The sequence below is a fragment of the Homo sapiens genome, chromosome 4 (genome assembly GCF_000001405.40).
Source record: "Homo sapiens chromosome 4, GRCh38.p14 Primary Assembly".
NCBI classification, from domain to species: domain Eukaryota; kingdom Metazoa; phylum Chordata; class Mammalia; order Primates; family Hominidae; genus Homo; species Homo sapiens.
In genome coordinates this window covers 118,339,289-118,361,397 of record NC_000004.12, presented here as the reverse complement: position 1 = coordinate 118,361,397, position 22,109 = coordinate 118,339,289, and the positions used below count along the sequence as shown (strand labels likewise).

At 41.4% G+C, this 22,109-nt stretch overlaps 1 protein-coding gene across 4 annotated transcripts in view, besides 3 other annotated features; it reads left to right on the top strand.

Moving 5' to 3' along the window:
* Positions 7,805-8,650: an enhancer, noted in NCBI's record as "H3K27ac hESC enhancer chr4:119273903-119274748 (GRCh37/hg19 assembly coordinates)". NCBI's record gives its function as "activates a minimal SCP1, AML or CMV promoter by ChIP-STARR-seq in naive H9 embryonic stem cells {active_cell/tissue: H9 hESC(naive)}" and the evidence as "EXISTENCE:reporter gene assay evidence [ECO:0000049][PMID:30033119]".
* Positions 8,169-8,428: a silencer, noted in NCBI's record as "silent region_15651". NCBI's record gives its function as "represses an Ori minimal core promoter by ATAC-STARR-seq in GM12878 lymphoblastoid cells {active_cell/tissue: GM12878}" and the evidence as "EXISTENCE:reporter gene assay evidence [ECO:0000049][PMID:35858748]".
* PRSS12 (serine protease 12) overlaps positions 8,395-22,109 on the top strand; it is a 72,966-nt gene continuing 59,251 nt past the window's right edge. For all 4 annotated transcript variants that reach the window (NM_001440549.1, NM_003619.4, NM_001440550.1 and 1 more), the window contains exon 1: positions 8,395-9,179. In NM_001440549.1, coding sequence (NP_001427478.1) covers positions 8,678-9,179 — 502 coding nt within the window. In that variant the 5' untranslated portion in view covers positions 8,395-8,677. The remainder of the gene's footprint in view (positions 9,180-22,109) is intronic.
* Positions 8,459-8,538: a silencer, noted in NCBI's record as "silent region_15650". NCBI's record gives its function as "represses an Ori minimal core promoter by ATAC-STARR-seq in GM12878 lymphoblastoid cells {active_cell/tissue: GM12878}" and the evidence as "EXISTENCE:reporter gene assay evidence [ECO:0000049][PMID:35858748]".

Below are 22,109 nucleotides of genomic sequence, written 5' to 3'. Positions count from 1 at the left end.
GCCAGAGAATGTTTATTGAACAAGTATGTGACCCAATTCTGGTCAACAACATTAGAGGAAAAATCTCCAAGGAGGTTTCTGGGAAAGATTTCTTTGCTCCTAAAAAAGAGGTACAGAAATAACAAGTCTCTCTTCTTCCTCTAAACACAGGCTCTGTCTGAATATGATGTCTTGCCATTTGCTGGCAGTATGAAGGTGAAGCTAACAGTAAGATGGGCAGGCAGAAAAAGACAAGGAGCCTGGGACCTCAAGAGCATAGTTAGTTAGACATTGAAGGAATTAACCCTGGGGAATTTGATGCCTCCTATTTTATGAGACCTATATGGTCCTTAAAAAACCTTATTGTAAGGCAGCTTGAGGTTTACTTTACTTGCAGCCAAAAGTATTCTTACAGTTACATAAGAGAAGCTAGAAATCAATAATTTTATGTGTGAGCTACTCATCTTAAAATCATGAATGAAATTTAATTTTTAAAATGAGTTGGGGCTGGGCACTGTGGCTTACGCCTGTAATACCAGCACTTTGGGAGGTCGAGGCAAGTGGATCACCTGAGGTTAGGAGCTCGAGAAAAGCCTGGCCAACATGGTGAAACCCATCTCTACTAAAAATACAAAATTAGCCAGGTTTGGTGGCAGGCACCTGTAATCCCAGCTGCTTGGGAGGCTAAGGCAGGAGAATCACTTGAAGCCAGGAGGCGAAAGTTGCAGTGAGCCGAGATCATGCCATGGTACTCGCACCTGGACAGCAAGAGTGAAACTTGGTTTCAAAAAAATAAAAATTAAAAAAAAAATGAGTTGGTAGCACATAAAACATATTTGGATGGCATATGCATTTTGCTGGCTTCTGGTTTGCGATGTCTTTTGTAGACACTACACTACCATATTATAAAAAAAAAAAAAAAAGGAAAAGACTCATTTGCACTTTACTTAAAAACCTCATTTGTTCAATGACTATTCATTGGCTGCCAGTTAAGGACCAATCACTGTGGAGTGCATAATTATTTCCATTAAAGAGCTTATAATGAAGACAGCTCTGGATTAATGTGATTATGATTGTGAAATTCTGTGTGTATAGCGTGCCAGGCTAACACATATTTTGAGAGCAGAATTTGGTTAGGGAAGATTTCACAGTTTGAACAGGGTTGTTGAAAATTTTCAGGCTGACAAGAATTTAAGTAACGTTGTGCTTATTGTATAAGAACCAAATGTTATGTGGCTGTAAACAAGTTAATATAATCATAGTATGATATTTGAAACAAGGGGAACATTTTTATTCTCTCGAAATCTGCTGTGGTCAAATAATACCTAAAGTATTGTTTTTTAATTCTATGAGCTACAGTTTAATGAGGATATTGTTGCACTTGGGCTTAACCAGAGAAGGGGTTCCAGCATAAGGCATCAAAATAAGAAATGGTAGAAGGAAAAATAGTTCATTTAGTCTAGAAAAAGCAGAAAAGCCCTGATAATTGTTTCCACAAACTTAAATGATAGTCATTTGCTTAGTGTCCAACATAATATTTTTAATCCTGTAGAGTAGAATTGTTACCTCCATATTATGGACAGGCAAACTATATTTTGAGAGGTTATCAGTAATGACGGATTACTGGGAAGCTAGGATCCTGAAATCATGTTGTCACAGGGTGAACCCCAAAATTGGGAGGCCATGTGAGTTCTTGGCTTCATGTAGGAAGGAATTCAAGAGTGAGCCAACAGAGTAAAGTGAAAGTAAGTTTATTAAGAAAAGTAAAGGAATAACAGGGTGGCTATTCCACAGGCAGAGCAGCAGCATGGGCTGCTTAAGTATACTTATGGGTATTCCTTGATTATTCACTAAACAAAGGGTGGGTTATTCCTGTGTTTTCTGGGAAAGGGGTTGGGAGTTCCTGAAACTGAGGGTTTCTCCCCTTTTTAGACTATACAGGGTAACTTTTGGATGTTGCAAACTATCATGGCACTGGTGGGAGTGTCTTTTAGCACGCTAATGCATTATAATTGGCGTATAATGAGCAGCCAGGATGACCAGAGGTTGCTTTCATCGCCATCTTGCTTTTGGTGGATTTTCACTGGCTTCTTTACCACATCTCGTTTTATCAGCTGGGTCTTTGTGACCTGTATCTTATGGAGCCAGTCCTGCTCACCTCCTATCTCATCCTGTGACTAAGAATGCCTAACCTCTAGGGAATGCAGGTCTCATCCTCCAAGAAACCAGCCCCTATTCAAGATGGAGTTGCTCTGGTTTGAACACTTCTCACACGATCTTCATGCCTCCCCACTCCCAGTGAATTCCCTGGGAGACATCTATATGTAGAGGACAAGCTTAGCCAAATGCAAGCTTTTAAAATTAACTGGAATTTTGCCCCCAAACCCCAAAGCAGTTTACTAGTATCTAGGCCAAATAGCTAAACAGCGCCTTTTCCTACCTTTTACTACAACTGTTACCCAAACCTCAGCTTTATGGTTCTTATGATTCCAATGATAAAGTAAAGAAAAACACAATAAGCAAAAGGAGAGAAAATAGGAAACTGATTACTTATGCTTATGCAGTCTTATTTATTTTTATTTTTTATAGAGACAGGGTCTTGTTATGTTGCCCGGGCTGGTCTTGAATTCCTGGGCACAGATGATCCTCCTACCTTGGCCTCCCAAAATGCTGGAATTACAGGCATGAGCCACTGCTCCCAGCCATATACAGACTTATTTATACCTCACATGATAATACTACTAATGGACCCTAGTAATGTGGACTAATTACTGCTCTTGGATCTGCCCCCTCAAGTCAACACATCTCCTCTTTCTTGAGGATAGAGAGAAATGGGGAAGAAAAGAGTCTTTAGCATCCCCTGGAGGCCAAGAAGCTAATACATAATTTAACAGGGATTTGAACCCAGGTGGGGTGGATTCCACAACTGTTACTGCCCACTCAAATAACCTCTATTCCCCCAAATCAGTAGGAGGATAGAAACAGAATTACAGCTAGATAAAGTAGGTTTCTACCTGTAGGGAACTTCTGGCTTTATGGAAGGGAAGATTTTCTGAACAATTTGGATTTTCTAGAGATAAGAGTGTGCTGGCTCCCAAGTAGGAACTTCTCCCGTGATTAGTTTTAAAGAAATAGATGGGGCCGGGCATGGTGGCTTACGGCTGTAATCCTAGCACTTTGGGAGGCCAAGACAGGCGAATTAGTTGAGGTCAGGAGTTCGAGACCAGTCAGCCAACATGGTGAAACCCTGCCTCTACTAAAAATACAAAAAATTAGCCAGGTGTGGTGGTGCATGCCTGTAATCTCAGCTACTCAGGGGCTGAGGCAGGAGAATCACTTGAACCTGGGAGACAGAGGTTGCAGTAAGCTGAGATAGTGCCACTGCACTCTAGCCTGGGTGACAGAGTAAGACTCCATTTCAAAAAGAAAGAAAAAAAAAGAAAGAAAAAAGAAAGAAAGAAATAGATAGAAGTCCATTTGTCAGAAAGTTCTGGAAGGATTCCTGCATTTGACAGGAAGTTGGAGCTTTAAGCCCTTTTCCACACTAAGATTCTGTGATTCCCAGATCATTGGCAAGCAGTTCTGGTGCTGTGTTTCTTTCAATCTGTTTACTCTTTTCCTCTGTGATCACAGCCCACTTGCAACTAGAAGGCTGAGGGATTTGAAAACCACTCGTTATACTTAGGCAAACTCCTCTGGAGAAGTGTTTTAATTTGAGATACTTAGTGTTTCATTGGCTTTCAGGGACAAAACTTGTGGAGAGGAAGAGAGAGAACATACAAAGAGAACAAGCGCTCAAGTGAGCAGAGCTACAGCAGCCTCATGACTGCCATCAATCTTAAAGCGGAAATTGCTGAGGTGCAGTAAGAGGCAGAGCATGATGGGGAGGGAAAATCTAGGCAAATTTCCTGCATCACTGATGTAGATTTTCACTGGGTGACTTAGTTTGAGGGGTTAAGAATTCAATGGCAGTTACTGATGCTATTCCACCGTACAATATGGAGTACTCTGTTCAACAGTTTACATGCATTATCTCAACTACCCCTCACAGAGATCTAGCATGCAAGTACTGTCACTCTCCCTTTTTCACAGATGAGGAGCCTTGGGCTTAGGAGGTAAAGAAACTCGTCTGAATTTCCCTACTGATTAGTGTGCAGATCAAGCACAGGTTTGATGCCAAGGCCAAAGTAACCAAGTTTAGGAACTATATATAGAGAGAGTGTGAGGCGCACACACACACACACACACACACACTCCTTACCTATTAGTACATATAATTTGGGTAACCCTGAAAATGAGTCTGTAGAACTAATTTCTGCATAGGAATTATATCATTTAGGTGAATTTTAAACATCAATCCAAATTAAAAAGCATTTTGTTCTGTTGATGAAATTCAACCTTAAACCATGAGAAAAATCAAGATCAAATGACTCCTATAGTACTACTGTTGCAATCATTGGCCCTCAGATGTCTTCATGGTTTGGGGCGAGCAGAGAAGAGTGTGACTAATACAAGGCATAGGTGGAGACTTTCCCTGTATTGCCAGAGACTGCCTACTAACAGGGACTTCTGACCCCAAAGCATTGTGCCATTCATTTGGCAATTCATCATTTATTTTTTGGATGTTTCTCTTATTTTTTTGAATTTTACATAAAATATTATATTGTCATCTAATTTTCTTTTCACCTCTCTATAGGCTGGACAATGTTCTATAATTTTGAGTCCCCTACAGTCCCTAGACAGTCCCTCATATTATTTGACTTTTTTTCCTTTGATGTGAAAGAGCAATGCTCAGTGTTCTTTTGAAAATTTTTTTTGCCATTGGAATTGTCAAAGTAAATACTGTTCTTAGCCTTCTGTTTAAAAGTTCTTAGCTTTTCTAAATGCAGGCATTATCTAAATTGTAAATGGGCCTTTTCCAAAAGTTATTTTGTATATTGGTTTTTGGAACTCTCTAAAAATAATATACATATCGGCTATGTTTCCAAATCAAACTACACAAGAGCTATTCAGCCCATCACTTATGTGAAGTAAGATGATCCCCTAAACTACCACAAAACCAAATATTCATGTATAACACAGTTGCCGTGGGAAAGCACAGATATGCAGATGTATGTGTACCGCACCCTCACCCCCAAGACTACCCACCCTCCCTGCCGTTGTGTGTGCAGGGAGACTCTTCCCTTCACTTCCCTAGGTTTCCAGTTGTTGTTCTGGATCTAGGCACTACCAGAACAGGGCTGTGTGGCAAAGGAGAGTTGAATTCTTGGGTCCCAAATCAATGACAGAGGATTGATGAAATCAGAGGTGATGGAGGTGACAGAGTCCCATTATGGGGGCCTCCCTGGGACTTCCAAGTGTTGAGATGAGGTGTGCCTGCAAGATGTCATTTGTTTCTTTTTGTCCCTTTCCTTGTTCCTTTGTTGCTGCTGAAAGGAAGGGAAAGCAGAGGATCAGCTGTGGGAGTTTTTTTTGTTTTTGTTTTTGTTTTTTTTTTTTTGGCAGGGTCTCACTCTGCTATCCAAGCTGGAGTGCAGTGGCGTGATCACATCTCACTGCAACCTCAATCTCCTGAGCTCAAGCAATTCTTCTGCCTCAGCCTCCTTGTAGTTAAAAAATGTTTTTTTAGAGAGACGGAGTCCCACTATGTTTCCCAGGCTGGTATTGAACTCCTGGGCTCAAGCAATCCTCCCACCTCGGGCTCCCAAGCTGCTGGGATTATAGGCTTAAGCCACTGCACATGACGAAGATTCTTACAGTTGTAACAAGATGGAATTGCCTCCCCTCTCCTTTGGCATATACTAGAGGGTGATGAAAATCCTGGGAGGGAGCTTTGACTAAGTAGCGCCTTAATAGAGGTAGAAGGAAAAGATTTCTTCCTGTAAATCCCTGTACTCTTAATTCCCCCCAACTCCACACACGCTGTGATGTGACAGGTAGAAGAGGGAGAAATGCATTTCAGAGATTGAACTGGGAATTGGAAATTCTAAACATCTGTATGTTGGTAGCAGCAAGGAGAAATGAAAGAAGAGAGGAAGAGAAAATATTAGCAGAGGAGGGGACTAACATGTCAAGAAGAGAGCTATTTAAGACACACTTTTCCTGTCAAATAGAAGGCAAAACCCAAGCCAAGGCCCTCAAATCATAATTACATAAATGCCCTTATATTTTCTAAGAAAAGTATGTTTTAAAACTTAAATGATGAAATCCGGACGTGGAATTTTCTGTGGGTAACTCCACTTTGTGTATGTCAATTTTATAGTCTGTTAAATGTTAAGTGGCCTCAGAGTACAGGGAAGTGGAGGAGAGGCCAGACTGCCTGAGGCCATGCTCCTCTCTGGAGCTCAGATCTAACAGTCTTCTGTTTTATTCACTTCTCTCTCATTATTTTCCTGTCTGCAAGGTATGTAGATGCATGGAAATTGGGTCTGCTTCTGGACCCCCAGGAAGCATGGAAGCAATGATTGTAGGGGTCAATGTGGGAAGGGGAGGGAGCAGGGTCCAAGCAGCCTCCCCACAGTCCTAAAATGAGCCTTCCCTGGGCCATCAGGTGTGTAGCCTAAGGTGGAAAAGCTAGTCAGAAAGAAAAAGGGCTGACCCCTGATAGAACTGTCACCTATTATTTCAAAAATCTGTGATTGATGAGCTCTGCCAACCCTCACTAAAATGAACAAATAGACTACTCCAGATATATATTTTATCTTTCATTGTCTTCCACAAGTATAGATTTAACTATGCTTTTGGAGCCAGAAAAGTATTAGTAAAAAAATAATGGGTAAAAACAACTGGAATGAAAACAACTTGAATAAAGATTTGACAAATACATCCCTGGACTCTTAACATCATTTCTTTTACCCAATTCTCTCTAAAGTAAAATCAAATATTTCATTAATAGGAGTGAAACAAAAAACAATAAAACGACCCACAAAATTAAAGATGGATTTTTTTTTTTTTTCTTGAGACAACGTCTCCCTCTGTCGCCCAGGCTGGAGTGCAGTGGCACGATCTCGGCTCACTGCAACCTCTGCTCCCAGGTTCAAGCGATTTTCCTGGCTCAGCCTCCCAAGTAGCTGGAATTACAGGCGTGCGCCAACACTCCCCCGGCTTTTTGTATTTTTAGTAAAGGCGGGTTTCATCATGTTGGCGACGCTGTTCTCGAACTCCTGGCCTCATGTGATCCGCCTGCCTGGGCGTCCCAAACTGCTGGGATTACAGGTGTGAGCCACCTCGCCCGGCTAAAGATGGCTTATTTAAAGCTAGTAGTGAATTAATTCAGTTCCTAATTGAAACCTAGGTTTTAACAATAAACATTTGAATTTTGTTCAAGTTTTCTTCAGGGTACATTATATTATGAGACAGCATTGCTTTTTCACAACGAAACGTGACCATGCCAGAAAATAAAATGTTGCCTTCTTTACGGGCTTCCTTCTCCTTGTCAAACTTTGGTAGCATAGTCAGAAACAACTGAAAGGCAAAATACTAAAACATACAGCTCCAGTAACTTTTTTTTTTTAAGATTCTAAGCCAACAGTTTTTTGGAGCCTGCGGGAGGGGGGCGAGGAGTGTTGAAAGGGCCCTACTAAGCTGAGGTCGAGCCAACAGTGAAGCTTCAAAATTGTCAGCAGGCAGAGTCTCTGGAGAGGCAAATGAATAGGCTTAACAGAAGTCCCTTGCCCTGCAAAAAACGAGGCAGGTGCTAGGGGGGTGGACTTTTTGGATAGGATGGAAACCGGGACGGATGAAGTCTTCTCTGGTTAGAGAGGAAATTTGGTATTAAGAGAGCCTCACTGAATCCCAATAATAACCAAACAACTGGTGTTGTCCAGGGCACCGGCTGGAAAGTGGGAGGCAGGAAGCAGAAAGGCTCAAGCTCCTTTCCCTGAGTCGGTTCAGGATTTTAATTTCAGCCAATGTTTATTGGGGCACGGTGTTAAGCACGGTGATATCAAGCTGAATAAAACGTGGTCTTGTCCTTGAAGAGCGTATAGTTCAGTGAAATGGCTTTAACATTCCTCGTGGGTTTTGATAACTTTTATCCTGGGAGTTGTCAGGGAAGAGCTGCATCTAAATCCATCCATACTTTGGTAAAGATTTCAAAACAGAGGAAGCAAGATACGGGGCGACGAGGTTGGAGGAGAGATGACGGCAGGGGCCGGTGCCAGATTTGGGAGCCGCCAACGCCGGGCTGTGCTGGTGCTGCATGCTGGCAAGGGGCAGCCAAGACCGTGCTCCGCGCGGGCACCCTCGGGCTCGGTCCCAGCAGCTGGCAGTGCCGTGCGGGCGGACTGCGGTGGGCCTGGCAGGGGCCGAGCGTAGGTCCGGAGCAGCTTGCGCGGCCGGCGCCCGCCCCCAGGGGGCAGAGTTCCCGGGCTCGTGCCTGCGCCGCTACCTGGGGCTCAGGCCCAACCGCTCCCCGCTGCGTCCGCGCCTTCTCTTTTCCGGTCCTCTCCGCCGGCCGGGGCTCGGCTGAGCTCCAGATTTCCCCACCCGCGGCCGCCGCCAGGGGACAGGAGCCGAGGCGCGGCAGGGCACCAGCGGCGGGAGGCAAGGTTGGGGAGGCGAGGGCGGTCCGCGTGCGGGGGCGGGAGGGGGCTGGGGGATTCGAGGGACGCGGCAGCCCCGCCCCCGCCCCCTCCTCTTCTCCGCTCCAAGCCCGAGAAGCTGGGGAGCATGGACCAGACCCCGCAGCGCTGGCACCATGACGCTCGCCCGCTTCGTGCTAGCCCTGATGTTAGGGGCGCTCCCCGAAGTGGTCGGCTTTGATTCTGTCCTCAATGATTCCCTCCACCACAGCCACCGCCATTCGCCCCCTGCGGGTCCGCACTACCCCTATTACCTTCCCACCCAGCAGCGGCCCCCGAGGACGCGTCCGCCGCCGCCTCTCCCGCGCTTCCCGCGCCCCCCGCGGGCGCTCCCTGCCCAGCGCCCGCACGCCCTCCAGGCCGGGCACACGCCCCGGCCGCACCCCTGGGGCTGCCCCGCCGGCGAGCCATGGGTCAGCGTGACGGACTTCGGCGCCCCGTGTCTGCGGTGGGCGGAGGTGCCACCCTTCCTGGAGCGGTCGCCCCCAGCGAGCTGGGCTCAGCTGCGAGGACAGCGCCACAACTTTTGTCGGAGCCCCGACGGCGCGGGCAGACCCTGGTGTTTCTACGGAGACGCCCGTGGCAAGGTGGACTGGGGCTACTGCGACTGCAGACACGGTTAGTGGCCTCGGGGCGGCCGCGGAAACTCCGGACGGGCTCGGAGCCAGTGAGGCTTGGGGCCGGCGTACAGGTCTCTTGGAAAAAGTGACGGGGTGTGTGGGGTTGTGGGCTTGCGTTTGCGGGCTGTGATGGTGGGCTGCAGCTGGGTTACCAGTAAGGTATACTGGTGCTGCAAATCTAAGCCAGCCAGGTGTGCTTGTGTGAAGGTTGTCAGGGGTGACAGTTCTATGCAAGGTGCTGAGCTCTGGGTTTCTGAATTTGCTCTGTCCTCTGGCCACTGTGTGTGTGTGTGCGCTCGTGTATTGGGTGACAGTGTGCTTTGGGCGTCTGTTCTCTAGATTAGCTTACGTTGAGTGGGTTACCATATTTACATTAAAGAGGCATAATTACTTGTTCTGGAAAGGGAAATGTTACATTAACGTGGCAATCAATAACCTTCCCTCCATTCTTTAGACTCCGATTTTTAAAAATGTGGTAAAATTTTGCCTTAATTTAGCTGTTGACCTCTGTTTTAAAAAGTATGGCAAAATTATGTGGCCAAAATCAGCCATATTCACATACTCCAGCTCAGTATGGTAAGTATCATCAGTGACTGGAAAAAAAGAAAGGGAAAAGAGATGGGAATACTACTATCTTGGTGAAGTAGCAACTTAATATAGTTATACACAGTTTTCCAGAGCCATTACTTAGCTTTATATGTTTTATCAGGATTAGTTGGTAACATCAGGAGATAAAGGTGGCAAAATGTTTTAGGTTTGTGGTAATAAAAGCATCACACTAATAAATTTAATGTAAATGAATAATCCAGCTTTGAACATTGCTTCATTTTGAATTGTTGGGATTTTGTTGAAATTAGGTTTTTTTTTTTGTTTAAAAACTGAGGAAGAAAAAATATCCTCAAAGTTTGAATTTCTTTTCAACAAAATATTTTTGGCAGCTTTCCATTCACACTGTGGGGCAAGGGTTTCCTGAATTGAGATTCTGAATCATATTGTACTTTGTACTTTTTGGAGGTAACTTGGAGGTTATCTGTCACAATGTCATTCATTTCCTGGAGAAATTTTATTTATCAGTACCTTCAATTGCATTAGTGCTTTGAGTTAAGGAAAAGTGATAGGAAGGTTAAGATCAATTATCCTTTATCCTCGGGAATGAAGTCATCGCTTTACTTGTGTTTCATGAACAGAATGCCAATGTAGCTATAAAAAATTTGAGGTGATGTCAAACAAAGAGTGCTAGCATTGTCTCGTTATTCACCATAAGAGATTATAGTAAAATCTTAGGTTTAGCAAACATTGACTTTTTTCATCTTCATATTATTCTTAGTTTTATAAATAGATAAGAGCAGAGAATTATTAGAGAATGAATGTGTAGGAGAGAATATACAACTTCTCTTTAAGTACATAAGCACAGACTCAAGAAAAGTAATTTAAAGTTAAAAAATGATAGTGATCTGTTGCTCTCTTTCTGACATAACTCAGCCTTATGTTTCAGACATGGAGAGTAACTTGTCCTTGGATTTCCTGCCACCTCACCTTCTTCAGTTGACTAGAAATGTAAATCTTTTGAATGCCTTTATGTTCCTAGCTAACTCTCACCAGACAAAATCCCAAATACTGCATAATAGTTATTTGTACTTCCTGGAGTAAAGTGATTGAACAAAAGAGAAACAAAAGAAACCACTCAAGATGGGAGATAAATGCCCTTCCCACCACCACAAAAAAATAGGAAAACGATCAACTGTGTAATAATGAATTACTTTCACAGACTCAATCTCATTCTATCATTTACTTCTCCAGTCTGCTTGGGCATAACCTATAGCTTTGAGATGAGTGGCATATTCTGAACGTTACGGCTCTCTTGGTCCTACATTTCAATTAGGGGTGTGAACAAAAGTATCATGGAGTGGTGAAAAGAATATTGAATTGTGCTTTAGAAAACACTGGTGTCTGTTTTGGCTCTGCCAGTAGCTGTGCACTGTTGGGTAAGACTCTTAACTCTTAGAGCTTTGGTTTCCTCATCAGGAGAAACGCAAGTTTTGAGTAAATTAATTTAAAAGACCTTTGCAGCGCTGAGCATGTACGCAAAACAACCTGGCCTGATCATAGTAGCTAGGACTTACTGTGCATTCATTCTGTGTTGGATGCTGGACTGAACATTTTATGTGCATTTTCTCATTTCATTCTTTTATTTTTATTTATTTATTTATTTTTTGACAAGGGTCTTCGTCTGTCACCCAGGCTGGAGTGCAGTGGTGCAATCTCAGCTCACTGCAACCTCCGCCTCCCTGGTTCAAGCGATTCTCCTGCCTCAGCCTCTTGAGTAACTGGGATTACAGGCACCTGCCACCACGCCCGGCTAATTTTTGTATTTTTAGTAGAGATGGGGTTTCACCATGTTGGCCAGGCTGGTCTTGAATTCCTGACCTCAGGCCATCCACCCGCCTCTGCCTTCCAAAGTGCTGGGATTACAGGTGTGAGCCACCGCTCCCGGCCTCATTTCATTCTTGTAGCAACCTTCTGAGTGAGTTCCTGCATTTTACTGATGAAAATATGTGAAGACATATTATGAGGAGTATAGGAGAAAATAGGGTTAGATATGTGTATTTTTACTTCACAGCTGATTTTGCTGTATTTCTTTACTTACATATACACATGTAGAAATATCTGCATTGTGTAGTAATCCTCATTTTGTAGTTTATGGACTAGTCTAACAGGAAGAAAGGGAATTATGTTTGGCCTGATGCACATGATTTACAGTCTCTTATGCTTAAAAGATATCTGGTATCTTTTTCTTTGTTTTTTTTTTTTTTGAGATAGGTTCTCTCTCTGTCACCCGGGCTGGAGCGCAGTGGCGCAATCTCAGTGCACTGCAACCTCTGCCTCCTGGGTTCAAACGATTCTCCTGCCTAAGCCTCCCAAAGTGCTGGGATTACAGGCAAGAGCTACCATGCCCGACATATTTTTTTCTTTAAAGAAATCCAGGGCAAAAGAAAATAACAATTTACAGTAATGTGATCCCTCCTTTAAAAAATACACTGCTGGCCAGAGTCACATATTTCATTGCATTGAGAAAAATGAGGAAGTTGGTGTCTCCATGGTGAAGAGTTGATTGAAGCCAAGTTGAAGGGGCAGGGTGGGGACCTCAGGTGAGCCAGGGCTGGGCGTGGATGTTCCAGTGGCTCAGATGTCAGAGAGCAGGAAACATGATACCTGGGCCCTGGTTTTATGAAACTTGCAAATTAATACTAAAGAATCATTCTAGGGCTGGGCGCGGTAGCTGTCGCTTGTAATCCTAGCACTTTGGGAGGCTGAGGCAGGTGGATCACCTGAGGTCGGGAGTTCGAGACCAGGCTGACCAATGTGGAGAAACCCCTGTCTCTACTAAAAATACAAAATTAGCCAGGCATGGTGGCACATGCATGTAATCCCAGCTACTTGGGAGGCTGAAGCAGGAGAATCGCTTGAACCTGGGAGGCAGAGGTTGTAGTGAGCCGAACTCACGCTATTGCACTCCAGTCTGGGCAACAAGAGCGAAACTCTGTCTCAAAAAAAAAAAAAAGAATCATTCTGGCTATGGGAATACACTGAATCAGCCCAGGGAGCTGGTCTCATTATGAGCATTTAGAAACACCTTGGGACTTGTTAAAATGCAGATTCCTAGACTGTAGCCCAGGCTCTGAGTAATTCTCAGTTCTGGATCAGGAATGGAACATGCATTTCTATTGAGCAGTCAAAGTGATTTAGATGCTGAAAACTCTGTCACAGTCAGGCAGAACACATGGAAGGGCATTAGAACCCACCTAAAATGTATAGTGGTAGGTGATGATATAGACTAACTGAGCCCACCATTCTGTGACTTAACCCTGTTAGGCTTTAGGAGCAGGTGTAAGGCATGCCAATGTTAACTTTTTGTGTAATTTTAGAAATGACACTTCTGGTTTTTTATTTGACCAGTGTAAGATAGTAATAACCTAGTTCACTGGAATATGGTTATTTTATTTTTATTTTTTGAGACAAAATGCATTTGTGCCATCTCAGCTCACTGCAACCTCTGCCTCTCAGGATCAAGCAATTCTCCCACCTTGGCCTCTGAAGTAGCTGGGACTACAGTCCAGCTAATTTATTATTATTATTTTTTGTATTGTTTGTAGAGATGGAGTTTTGCCATGTTGCCCAGGCTGGTCTCCAACTCCTGGGCTCAAGTGATTCTCCCGCCTTGGCCTCCCAGAGTACTGGAATTACAGGCATGAGCTACCATGGCTGCCCAGAATATGGTTATTAATTGAATGTGAGCTAGGTTATTTTTGCATTTCTACAGGAAGAATTAACAGGCAACTGATTTCCCCCAACAATAGCTTGTGACCCAGCATGGTGGCTCATGCCTGAAATCGCAGCACTTTAGGAGGCTGGGGCAAGGGGATCACTTGAGGCCAGGAGATAGAGGCTGCAGTGAGCTATAGTCATGACACTGCACCCCATTCTGGGCAACGGAGGGAGACCCTGTCTCTAAAACAAGCAAAACAAACACAACAAAACACGATAGATTGCAATAACTTAGTGTTTCCTGCCTAGGAGGGGCAGTCACTTTTCTAGTCTCTGGTTGGCATAGCAGATGGGGCAACTTGCTTGACACTGTGCTGAGAGCCTCCCTTTTTTACAAGCCAACCATAGGTGGCTGATGATTGAGAGGTAAAACATTAAATAAATGAGAAAGTTTTAATCATTGAGATTCTGGAGGAGAGGATGAGTCAAGAGATCTGACTTTTTGTCTTGTCATGCTCCTCTGTTCATGTGCACCTACCCACCCAAAATCTCTTGATTGAAATAGAGATAGAGGACATGTGGACCAAGTACTATTGTTTACAGGCTGTACTCATTGAATTCCATCTGTTGTTTGTAGTGAGTGTTAATTAAAAAGTTAGCTGAAAGCTGTCCCCCGCCACTTTTAAGGGCTACATCTTGGTTCTATGTAGCAGGTGCTGAAAAACATTTATTAGCAATACCAGATTTGATACATTTCCTGGTTGATTTTAAATATTGAGCTCAATCTGCTTTTCAGACTAAGGCAGATGTCAAATACTTAGATTTGGGGGCATTATCTGATTTCTTAACTAGTGTGCATATTTTTTTTTTTTTAGAGAAGACAATAAGATATCCCGTTACTATTGCCTTTTATGAGCTATTGTCCAGGGGTGTATATTTACTTATGTGGTCACTGTCTGTGTGTGTGTGTGTGCATGTGTGCATGCATGCACACGCATGTGTGCGCCTATGTGTTAAGACACCAGTCCCCAACCTTTTTGGCACCAGGGACCAGTTCTGTGGAAGGCAGTTTTTCCGTGGACCTGGGGGATGGTTTCATCAGGCATTAGATTCTCATAAGGAGCATGCAACCTAGATTCCTTGCATGCACAGTTCGCAATGGAGTTCGAGCTCCTAGGAGAATCTAATGCTGCTGCTGATCTGATAGGAGGCAGAGCTTAGGAGGCAGAGCTCAGGTGGTAATGTGAGCGATGGGGAGTGGCTGTAAATACAGATAAAGCTTCACTTGCTCACCTCCTGGTCACCTCCTGCTGGGCAGCCTGGGGGTTGGGGCCCCCTGTGATAAGATAACCTATGTAAAAGTAATTTGGTTTATAACTGAAGGGAAAATGAAATATCCAGTAATAAGGTACTACTCACAGGTACCTGCATTTGATGGATATTATGCAGATACTAAAATAATTATTGTAAATATTATATATATATATATATAAATAGGAAAGTGTTTACGATAGTGTTTAGGGGAAAGAAGGGTATGAAATTTATATATAATACATTATGACTGTGAAAATAAAGATGCTTTTGGAAGATTTGGAAGAAAACATGATAATTATGAATTTGGGTGTGGATGTGTCTTGAATCAATTTGGGTGGTTTTGATAGCAAAGAATAGAAAACGGAAACAATAAGGAGGCTTATTGTTCCTATTACAAGAAGTCCATGTGATGGGCAGACTCCAGCATGGTACACTTCTGTTCCTCTGCTACTTTCTTGGCTCCTCTATCCTCTTCAGAAGCGTGGCCTTTATTCTTAGGCTGGTGGTTATTCCAGGCTTCACTTAGAGATAGAACAATCTGCAGAAGGAAGAGAGCCCCTCTGCAGGAATGTCCTTTTGAAACAAGGAAACCTTTCTGGAATTTCCCCCACAGACTTCCACATTTCATTTGCCCAGACTGGATCACATGTTCCTTCCTGACACTCTTTGGAAAGAAATGTACAATTACCATGATTACATAGATTAGTTAGCTTAACCTCTGAATCATCTGGGGATTCAACTGGCAAGGAGGAAACAAGGTAGTTGTTGATCAGAACCAAAAGGGTTTGCTAAGGAGTATGGTTGGGACTTGTCCTTATATTTGGGAAACTTAATGCAATTAAAAAATAACAGTAAGTAATTTATAAAGTGCTGTAAAATGTTACATTCATTTTTTTTTAGTCATATCTGGATGAATAACATTTAGACTCTGGTTTGGTTGACAAAGCATATTTCCTTGTCTTAAGATGCTATTTGCAGGCAAATATTATGACGCATTTATATCTGAAATGAATAATTCCATAATTGATGAGAATGCTGAAGTTAGTTCATTTATTAAGTAAACATGATTATATGATTTAATTCTAATTTTGAAGGTTTTTTCCCCCTGAATTAAATTTTAAAGAAAGCAGTCCTTTGAAGCCTCTCTCCTTAGCTGCATAGTAAATAGGCATTATATGAACAATTGATTTAGACTGATGTTTACATGGTTGGTCTGTTGTCATTAGAAACTAAAGAAGTGTTTATTTTTGCCCCTTTAGCATCTTCCTTTTCCAGGGCAGTCTCCTCTTCCCCTCCTCCTCCTTCTTACAAATCAGTGCAACAATATTAATAAAAAAATTATTGTATGCAAAACACTAAAGCAATGATATTTACCCCCCTACAAGCCACACATGCACATTTAGCCTCAGTACTTTTTATTAGGATCAGCAGAGGGGATACAAAGTGTAATGCTGGTTCTTCTAACAGGGTAAGGATAGGTTTCATTTATTCCTTAAACATTTACTGCATTCACACTAGGTGCAGCATTTATAAAGATGAATCAGAAATTCACCTTTGTCCTCTGGTTGAGGACAGCCATTTTCTGGGTGAGGTGTCAGAAGAATAATAAGCATTTTCATTACCTTCCCTGTGGTGCATGATCTGGGAGACAAGAAGATTATTGTTTGGTTTCAATTTCATCACTCACTGCTATGCAATAAAATGGTAATACCCATACCATTTGTTTATGTGTAGATGGTCTGGGGACACACAATTTGTGAAAGCTTCTGTTGAGGTTATATGCATGTATTGTTAGCCTACTATAGCTTAACCATGGACAGAGTCATCTTTTTTTGTTTGATATCATATAATGTTTTAAACTAAGGAATAATTTATAAGATTTATAAATTTCTAATCAGCACACTGTAAATGGGTAGAATTGCTAACTTAGGGGATGCACTCTCATTTTGAACTATACCAACTGATTTTTTTTCTCAGCATTTAAGTTGTTGTATACATGAATAATAAATGAACAATTAGTATGAATTATAGATGTGAACTAATGGAGGCAAATATAGCTCAGTTGGATCTTGGTTCAGGGGAATGCCTTGTATGTTAAAAATGATTTGATTCATTTTGACCTGGGATGACTTGAATAAAATATACTATTTAGCAAAGATATAGCAGGTTTAATTAACAGGTAAATATAATTATAGATGAAAATAGTATAACTTAGTACTGTAGAATATAGTGAAGAAAGAAAATAACATAAAAATTAACCTAGCATCCCCTACTGTACTTGAAAAATTCAACCAAGAGTCCCCCAATTCAGTTGTTTTCAGGTACTGTAATTTTTTAAATATATTTTATAATTGATAGAGAATGGTCATTTAGTATATTTTTATAGTGTTGCATTTGGTATAAGACATAGTATTATATTTAACTTAATGTCAAATATGTGTACTAAATTGTTCAACATGTAATGGTTTTTTTCTATTCTTTTGAATAGGTCATAAATTGAAATTTCTGTATCACTCACAGCTTTAAGTGTACTTTTTGTCAAGGATCTGAACACTAGCTGGATGTTGCCAGTATGCATTCTTTCTATTCCACTAGAACAATAGAAATGACTAAAACTAATTATTTTATGCATCTGTAAAGTTCAATAATAGACAAGAAAGGATTTGTGTGAAAACGTGAAGTTTTTTTTTACTCTTTTATCAAACTGTGATTTTTTAAAAAAAGATTTTAAAAATATTTATTACTAGTTTTATTCAGAAAACACTATTGGGGTGGGTCTTTGTTTTTACTGCATTTTCTTTCTCTTTAAATTAAGGAATGCTATTTTATAAGTACATTTTAATGAGGGGTTAACTAAATAGGCAGGCATGCATTTTTTCCCCCCACAGGGTCTTTCTTTGTTGCTCAGGCTGGAGTATAGTGGCACAGTCATAGCTCATCGTAACCTTGAATGCTTGGGCTCAAGCGATCATTTGCCTCAGCCTCCCAAGTAGCTGGGATTACAGGCCTGGGCCACCACGCCCAGCTAATTTTAAAATTTTTTGTAGAGGTGGGGTCTTGCTATGTTATCCAGGCTGAACAGGGATATCTTTTCATTTGCTTTATTTTGGAATAAGCTGGGTATATAGAATGAAGATAGTTGACTCATTTGGTTCCTTTTCTCCTATTTCTTTTAGGTTTCCTTCACATATGGAATATGGAAAGGAAGGTTGTTTTGCTTTTGTTTTTGTTTTTTGTTTTTTGAGACAGGGTCTTGCTCTGTCACCTAGACTGGAATGCAGTAGCACAATTATAGCTCACTGCAGTCTTGAACTCCTGGGTACAAGCAATCCTTCCGCCTTAGTAGCCTGAGTAGCTGGGACTACACACGTGGGCCACCAAGCCCGGCTAATTTTTAATTTTTTTTTTTTTGTAAAGACAGTGTCTCACTCTGTTGTCTAGGCCGATCTCTAACCCCAGGGCTCAAACAGTCCTCCTGCCTTGGCCTCCCAAAGTGCTGGGATTACAGGTGTGAGGCACTGTGCCTTGCCTTAGTCTTAAATCTTAAAGCTCAGAAACCAATGAGACTTGTGAAGGGAATTTTTATCCAGTCTGCTGTTCTCTAGTTTACCTGTATTGACTGAGACTGATAAGATGGTTAAAGAGAACTCTTCTTGAATGCCTGTCCCTCTATTTGGGGAATTCCTGTTTTCTAGCGAAGTTGTCCATCAAGCAAATTTCTGTTACATGAACCTTTTATGTTTTCTTTCCTTTATAAAACTGGAGGCCTATGTACTTAGAAGGAAAACAGTTGTAAACTATTTTACTGTAAATGTTTAACAGTTAAACATTTTTATCAAGGAATTAAGATAGTAGAATTCTGAACATTGTTGTACATTGGAACATTTTGCCTTTAAATAGTTATAACACCAGCAGACAGTTGACCTTTTTCTTTTTTGGTAGCCGTTCATTTCAGGAACTCTGGGGCCTCCACTGCATGACATGCCATCACGCATAGTGGTACAATTCCAGACTTTCTTCCTTTACTAGTTTGGTCTGCATGTTTATAATGCTTAATATAATTGACCTAAAACCTCTGCTTGAGACTTTAAATTATTATTCTTAACGCATTTTAAAGATAGAAATATGTAGAATAGAATATTTTCTGTGCACGTGGCACTTGAGAGACTTTAAGACAGTGCAACGCTGGATCACACACACTCCGGTGTGGTCCAGGGACACAAGCTCTGACTAGAGTATCGAAGAATGGTTGGTTGCTCTAGGAGAATGTGGGCGGAAGGTGAGGGATCAATTCTTGATAATAAAAAATTGGACAATTGAACAATATTTGCCAAACAAAGAATTTCGTCTACAATTTATGCAAATCACTTTATTGTTAGGTACAGCAATAGAAATTAGTTCACTTGGTTAGCTTTGGGCTTTGCGGATTTCTTTGAGCTAAGGTTATTTTCCTTTCTCCATTGTGTAATTGTGTACCTATACATTTGTGCAAATGTGTACACCCACACGTTCATAGTCCTCCTACAACTTTGTACAGCTGTGGGACAAATCAGCTTCTACTGGAGGATTTGCGTCAACTATAGGAGCACCAGAAAGCCACTTCTCTCCTGTTCCACGGTGTAAAGAAACTTCAGGCTACTTTATGCTTCTCTTCCTAGTTGGCTTATTTCCATACAAGATTTGGTGGATTAGTTGCAGTATTTTCAGTAGGATGGTGAACTCTAACATGGTATAATGCATAAAGTAATATCTGAAGTTTTGAAAGGTACTTATTGTATTTCAGGGTCTTTGCTTAAGTTTGGAGGTAGAAGGTCAGTAACCAGGGCAGGGAACTAGGAGATAGTTGATCATGGCTCTGTAACTGCTCAGTTGCTTTGGTCTGTAGCTTTTTCATCCATAAGTAGAAGGAAATAAGTTATAGTTTTGTTGTTGTTGTTGTGGTTAGCTTGCTTTTGAGATGGAGTTTTGCTCTTGTTGCCCAGGCTGGAATGCAGTGGTGAGATCTCGGCTCGCCGCAACCTCAGCCTCCCGGGTTCAAGTGATTCTCCTGCTTCAGCCTCCCAAGTAGCTGGGATTACAGCCATGTGCTACCATGCCTGGCCAATTTTGTATTTTTAGTAGAGACGGGGTTTCTCCATGTTGGTCAGGCTGGTCTCGAACTCTCAATCTCAGGTGATCCACCCACCTCGGCCTCCCAAAGTGCTGGGATTACAGGCGTGAGCCACTGTGTCCAGCCATAAATTATAGTTTTTAAGATCTGGACCACCTCAGCTTTTCTAAGAGAATAAATGCAGCAATAACAAAATAAAGCCAGAAAACAAATGAAAACTACTACTTATCTTAAATGTATATAGTGTTGGGTCTCAGAAAATGATATCACCAAATGAAGGCCTCAGAAGTAGTCTCAGAAACAAGTTTTCCTTTGATCTTTTCCTACTTTCCTGTCACTGGCCCTTCATTTTCCCCTGAGGCTAGCCGCAGAAACTAGAATTCCTCTTTTCCAAGGTGGGCCATAGACACCAGAACCCCTTGTTTCCACAATCAGCCATAAAACCTAAAAATATTACTCAACTCCCCTCATGTCCCAGCTTTCTGTGTAAAAACTGGCCTTAAAAATTTATCTGACCTACCTTGTTTGATTACATAAGACCCCCATTCCAGAGAGGGTTCTTCTCCATACCCAGAAAAAAACAAAACAAAACTCAAAGAGGCCAAGAAAAATCTAAACTGATAAGCCTTACTGGGTTTCCCCACTCAGTCTATTGAGATTAGATCCTACCCATTTTGTCCAAACATATTTCTACGTGGCTGACCACACTTTGTTAAACCTGAACATAAAAATGGGCAGTATCTCCTATAGCTTTGGGTCCTCATTCTAAAGGCTCCCACGTCACGTAAAACCACGATCAAATAAATTTATATGCCTTTTATCCTAATAGTATGCCTCTTGTCAGTGAACCTTCAGAAGGCAGAGAAAGTGCTCTTGGCTCCTACAATAGAATGAATCGTGTGTTCAAACTTTTAGTCTTTTAGAGCATATTTGAATGCTGTTTTTAAAAAAGTTGTTTCAAATAATTATTAGAAGAATTGAGCTTTATAGAATGATATAAATACTCATTCTGAGTCCTAGGTAGATGGTTTCCTCCGAATAGACATTTTTATGGCCCTTAGGAAAGGATAAACCATGTGGAGGACACTGTTAGGAAGGTGTGTGTTGGGGCTGGCTGTGCCTGGAGTGGAATCTGACATAGAATTCATTAGTCATTGACATGCAAATTGCCTTTTAAGAATTGCAAATATTTGTCTTCATTTGTTAAAGGAAAATTGGATGAGCACTGCACATTTCTTGCCATATAGCAGATACTGCTAAATGAATCCAGGCTTTCACAGTGTGCTTGGAGCGTTAGAGAAAATGATGGTGCAGCTGATAGTTGACCTGGAAACTATTTCCAGCTCTATCATTGCTATTATATTGTTATGGTCATAATTATACTTTACTCAGGATTTTCTCCTTCTCACCTCTAAGTGCCTCAATCATTTAGATTCATGTGTACATCATTTCTTCTTGATAGCTTTTTGATGTAGACACTATTTTAAATCTTATGATCACTTAATGTGCATAAGTACACATTTCGTTTGTTTTCATTACTAGAACTATCTTCCAGCCCTTTTGACCTGAGTAACTTCGTGATTAAGGGGAGGAATTAGTAAAGAAATAATAGATTAAATATCAGTTCAAATAAAGTTTGCTTGAGGTCAACAAATGAATTCTTTGACTAAAATAAACTGCTGGCATTTGTGATGTGCATAATATTACGTGGACCTCTGTAGAAGAGATTTTGTGATATAAAAAATCATTAAAGATCAGTTGAACTCTTCAGAAATACTTCCTTAAAAATATTCTGTAGTTCATACTTCACTGAGCTAGGCAGGACTTCCTCTTGCTTACTGTGAATTAAAGAAGTTTAGAATATATGAATGAGTTTTAGATGATTTGTCATATGAATGACCCATGCCCTGTTCATTCCTGAATAGTCAGGATTTGGCAGTACTGTACAATGCTCACCTCCATTTATTATTGCCTTTTGTTTGAATTAAATGAGACTTTGTTTTTGTCGTGAGAAATATAATATGTTTTTCTTAAATGCTTACATTTTTAAAGGATGATGATGTGGAAAATAATAGTGGTGGATGACTAAGCCTGTACAAATGAAATGAATGGATACTTTGTGAATCTAATATTTTTGGAAGTTATTATGAAGCCATACATAACTTTGAAATATGCAAATTATGCTAGATTTTTTGGGTAGGATTGATTTTTTAAATTAATTTCTTAATTTTCTTACCT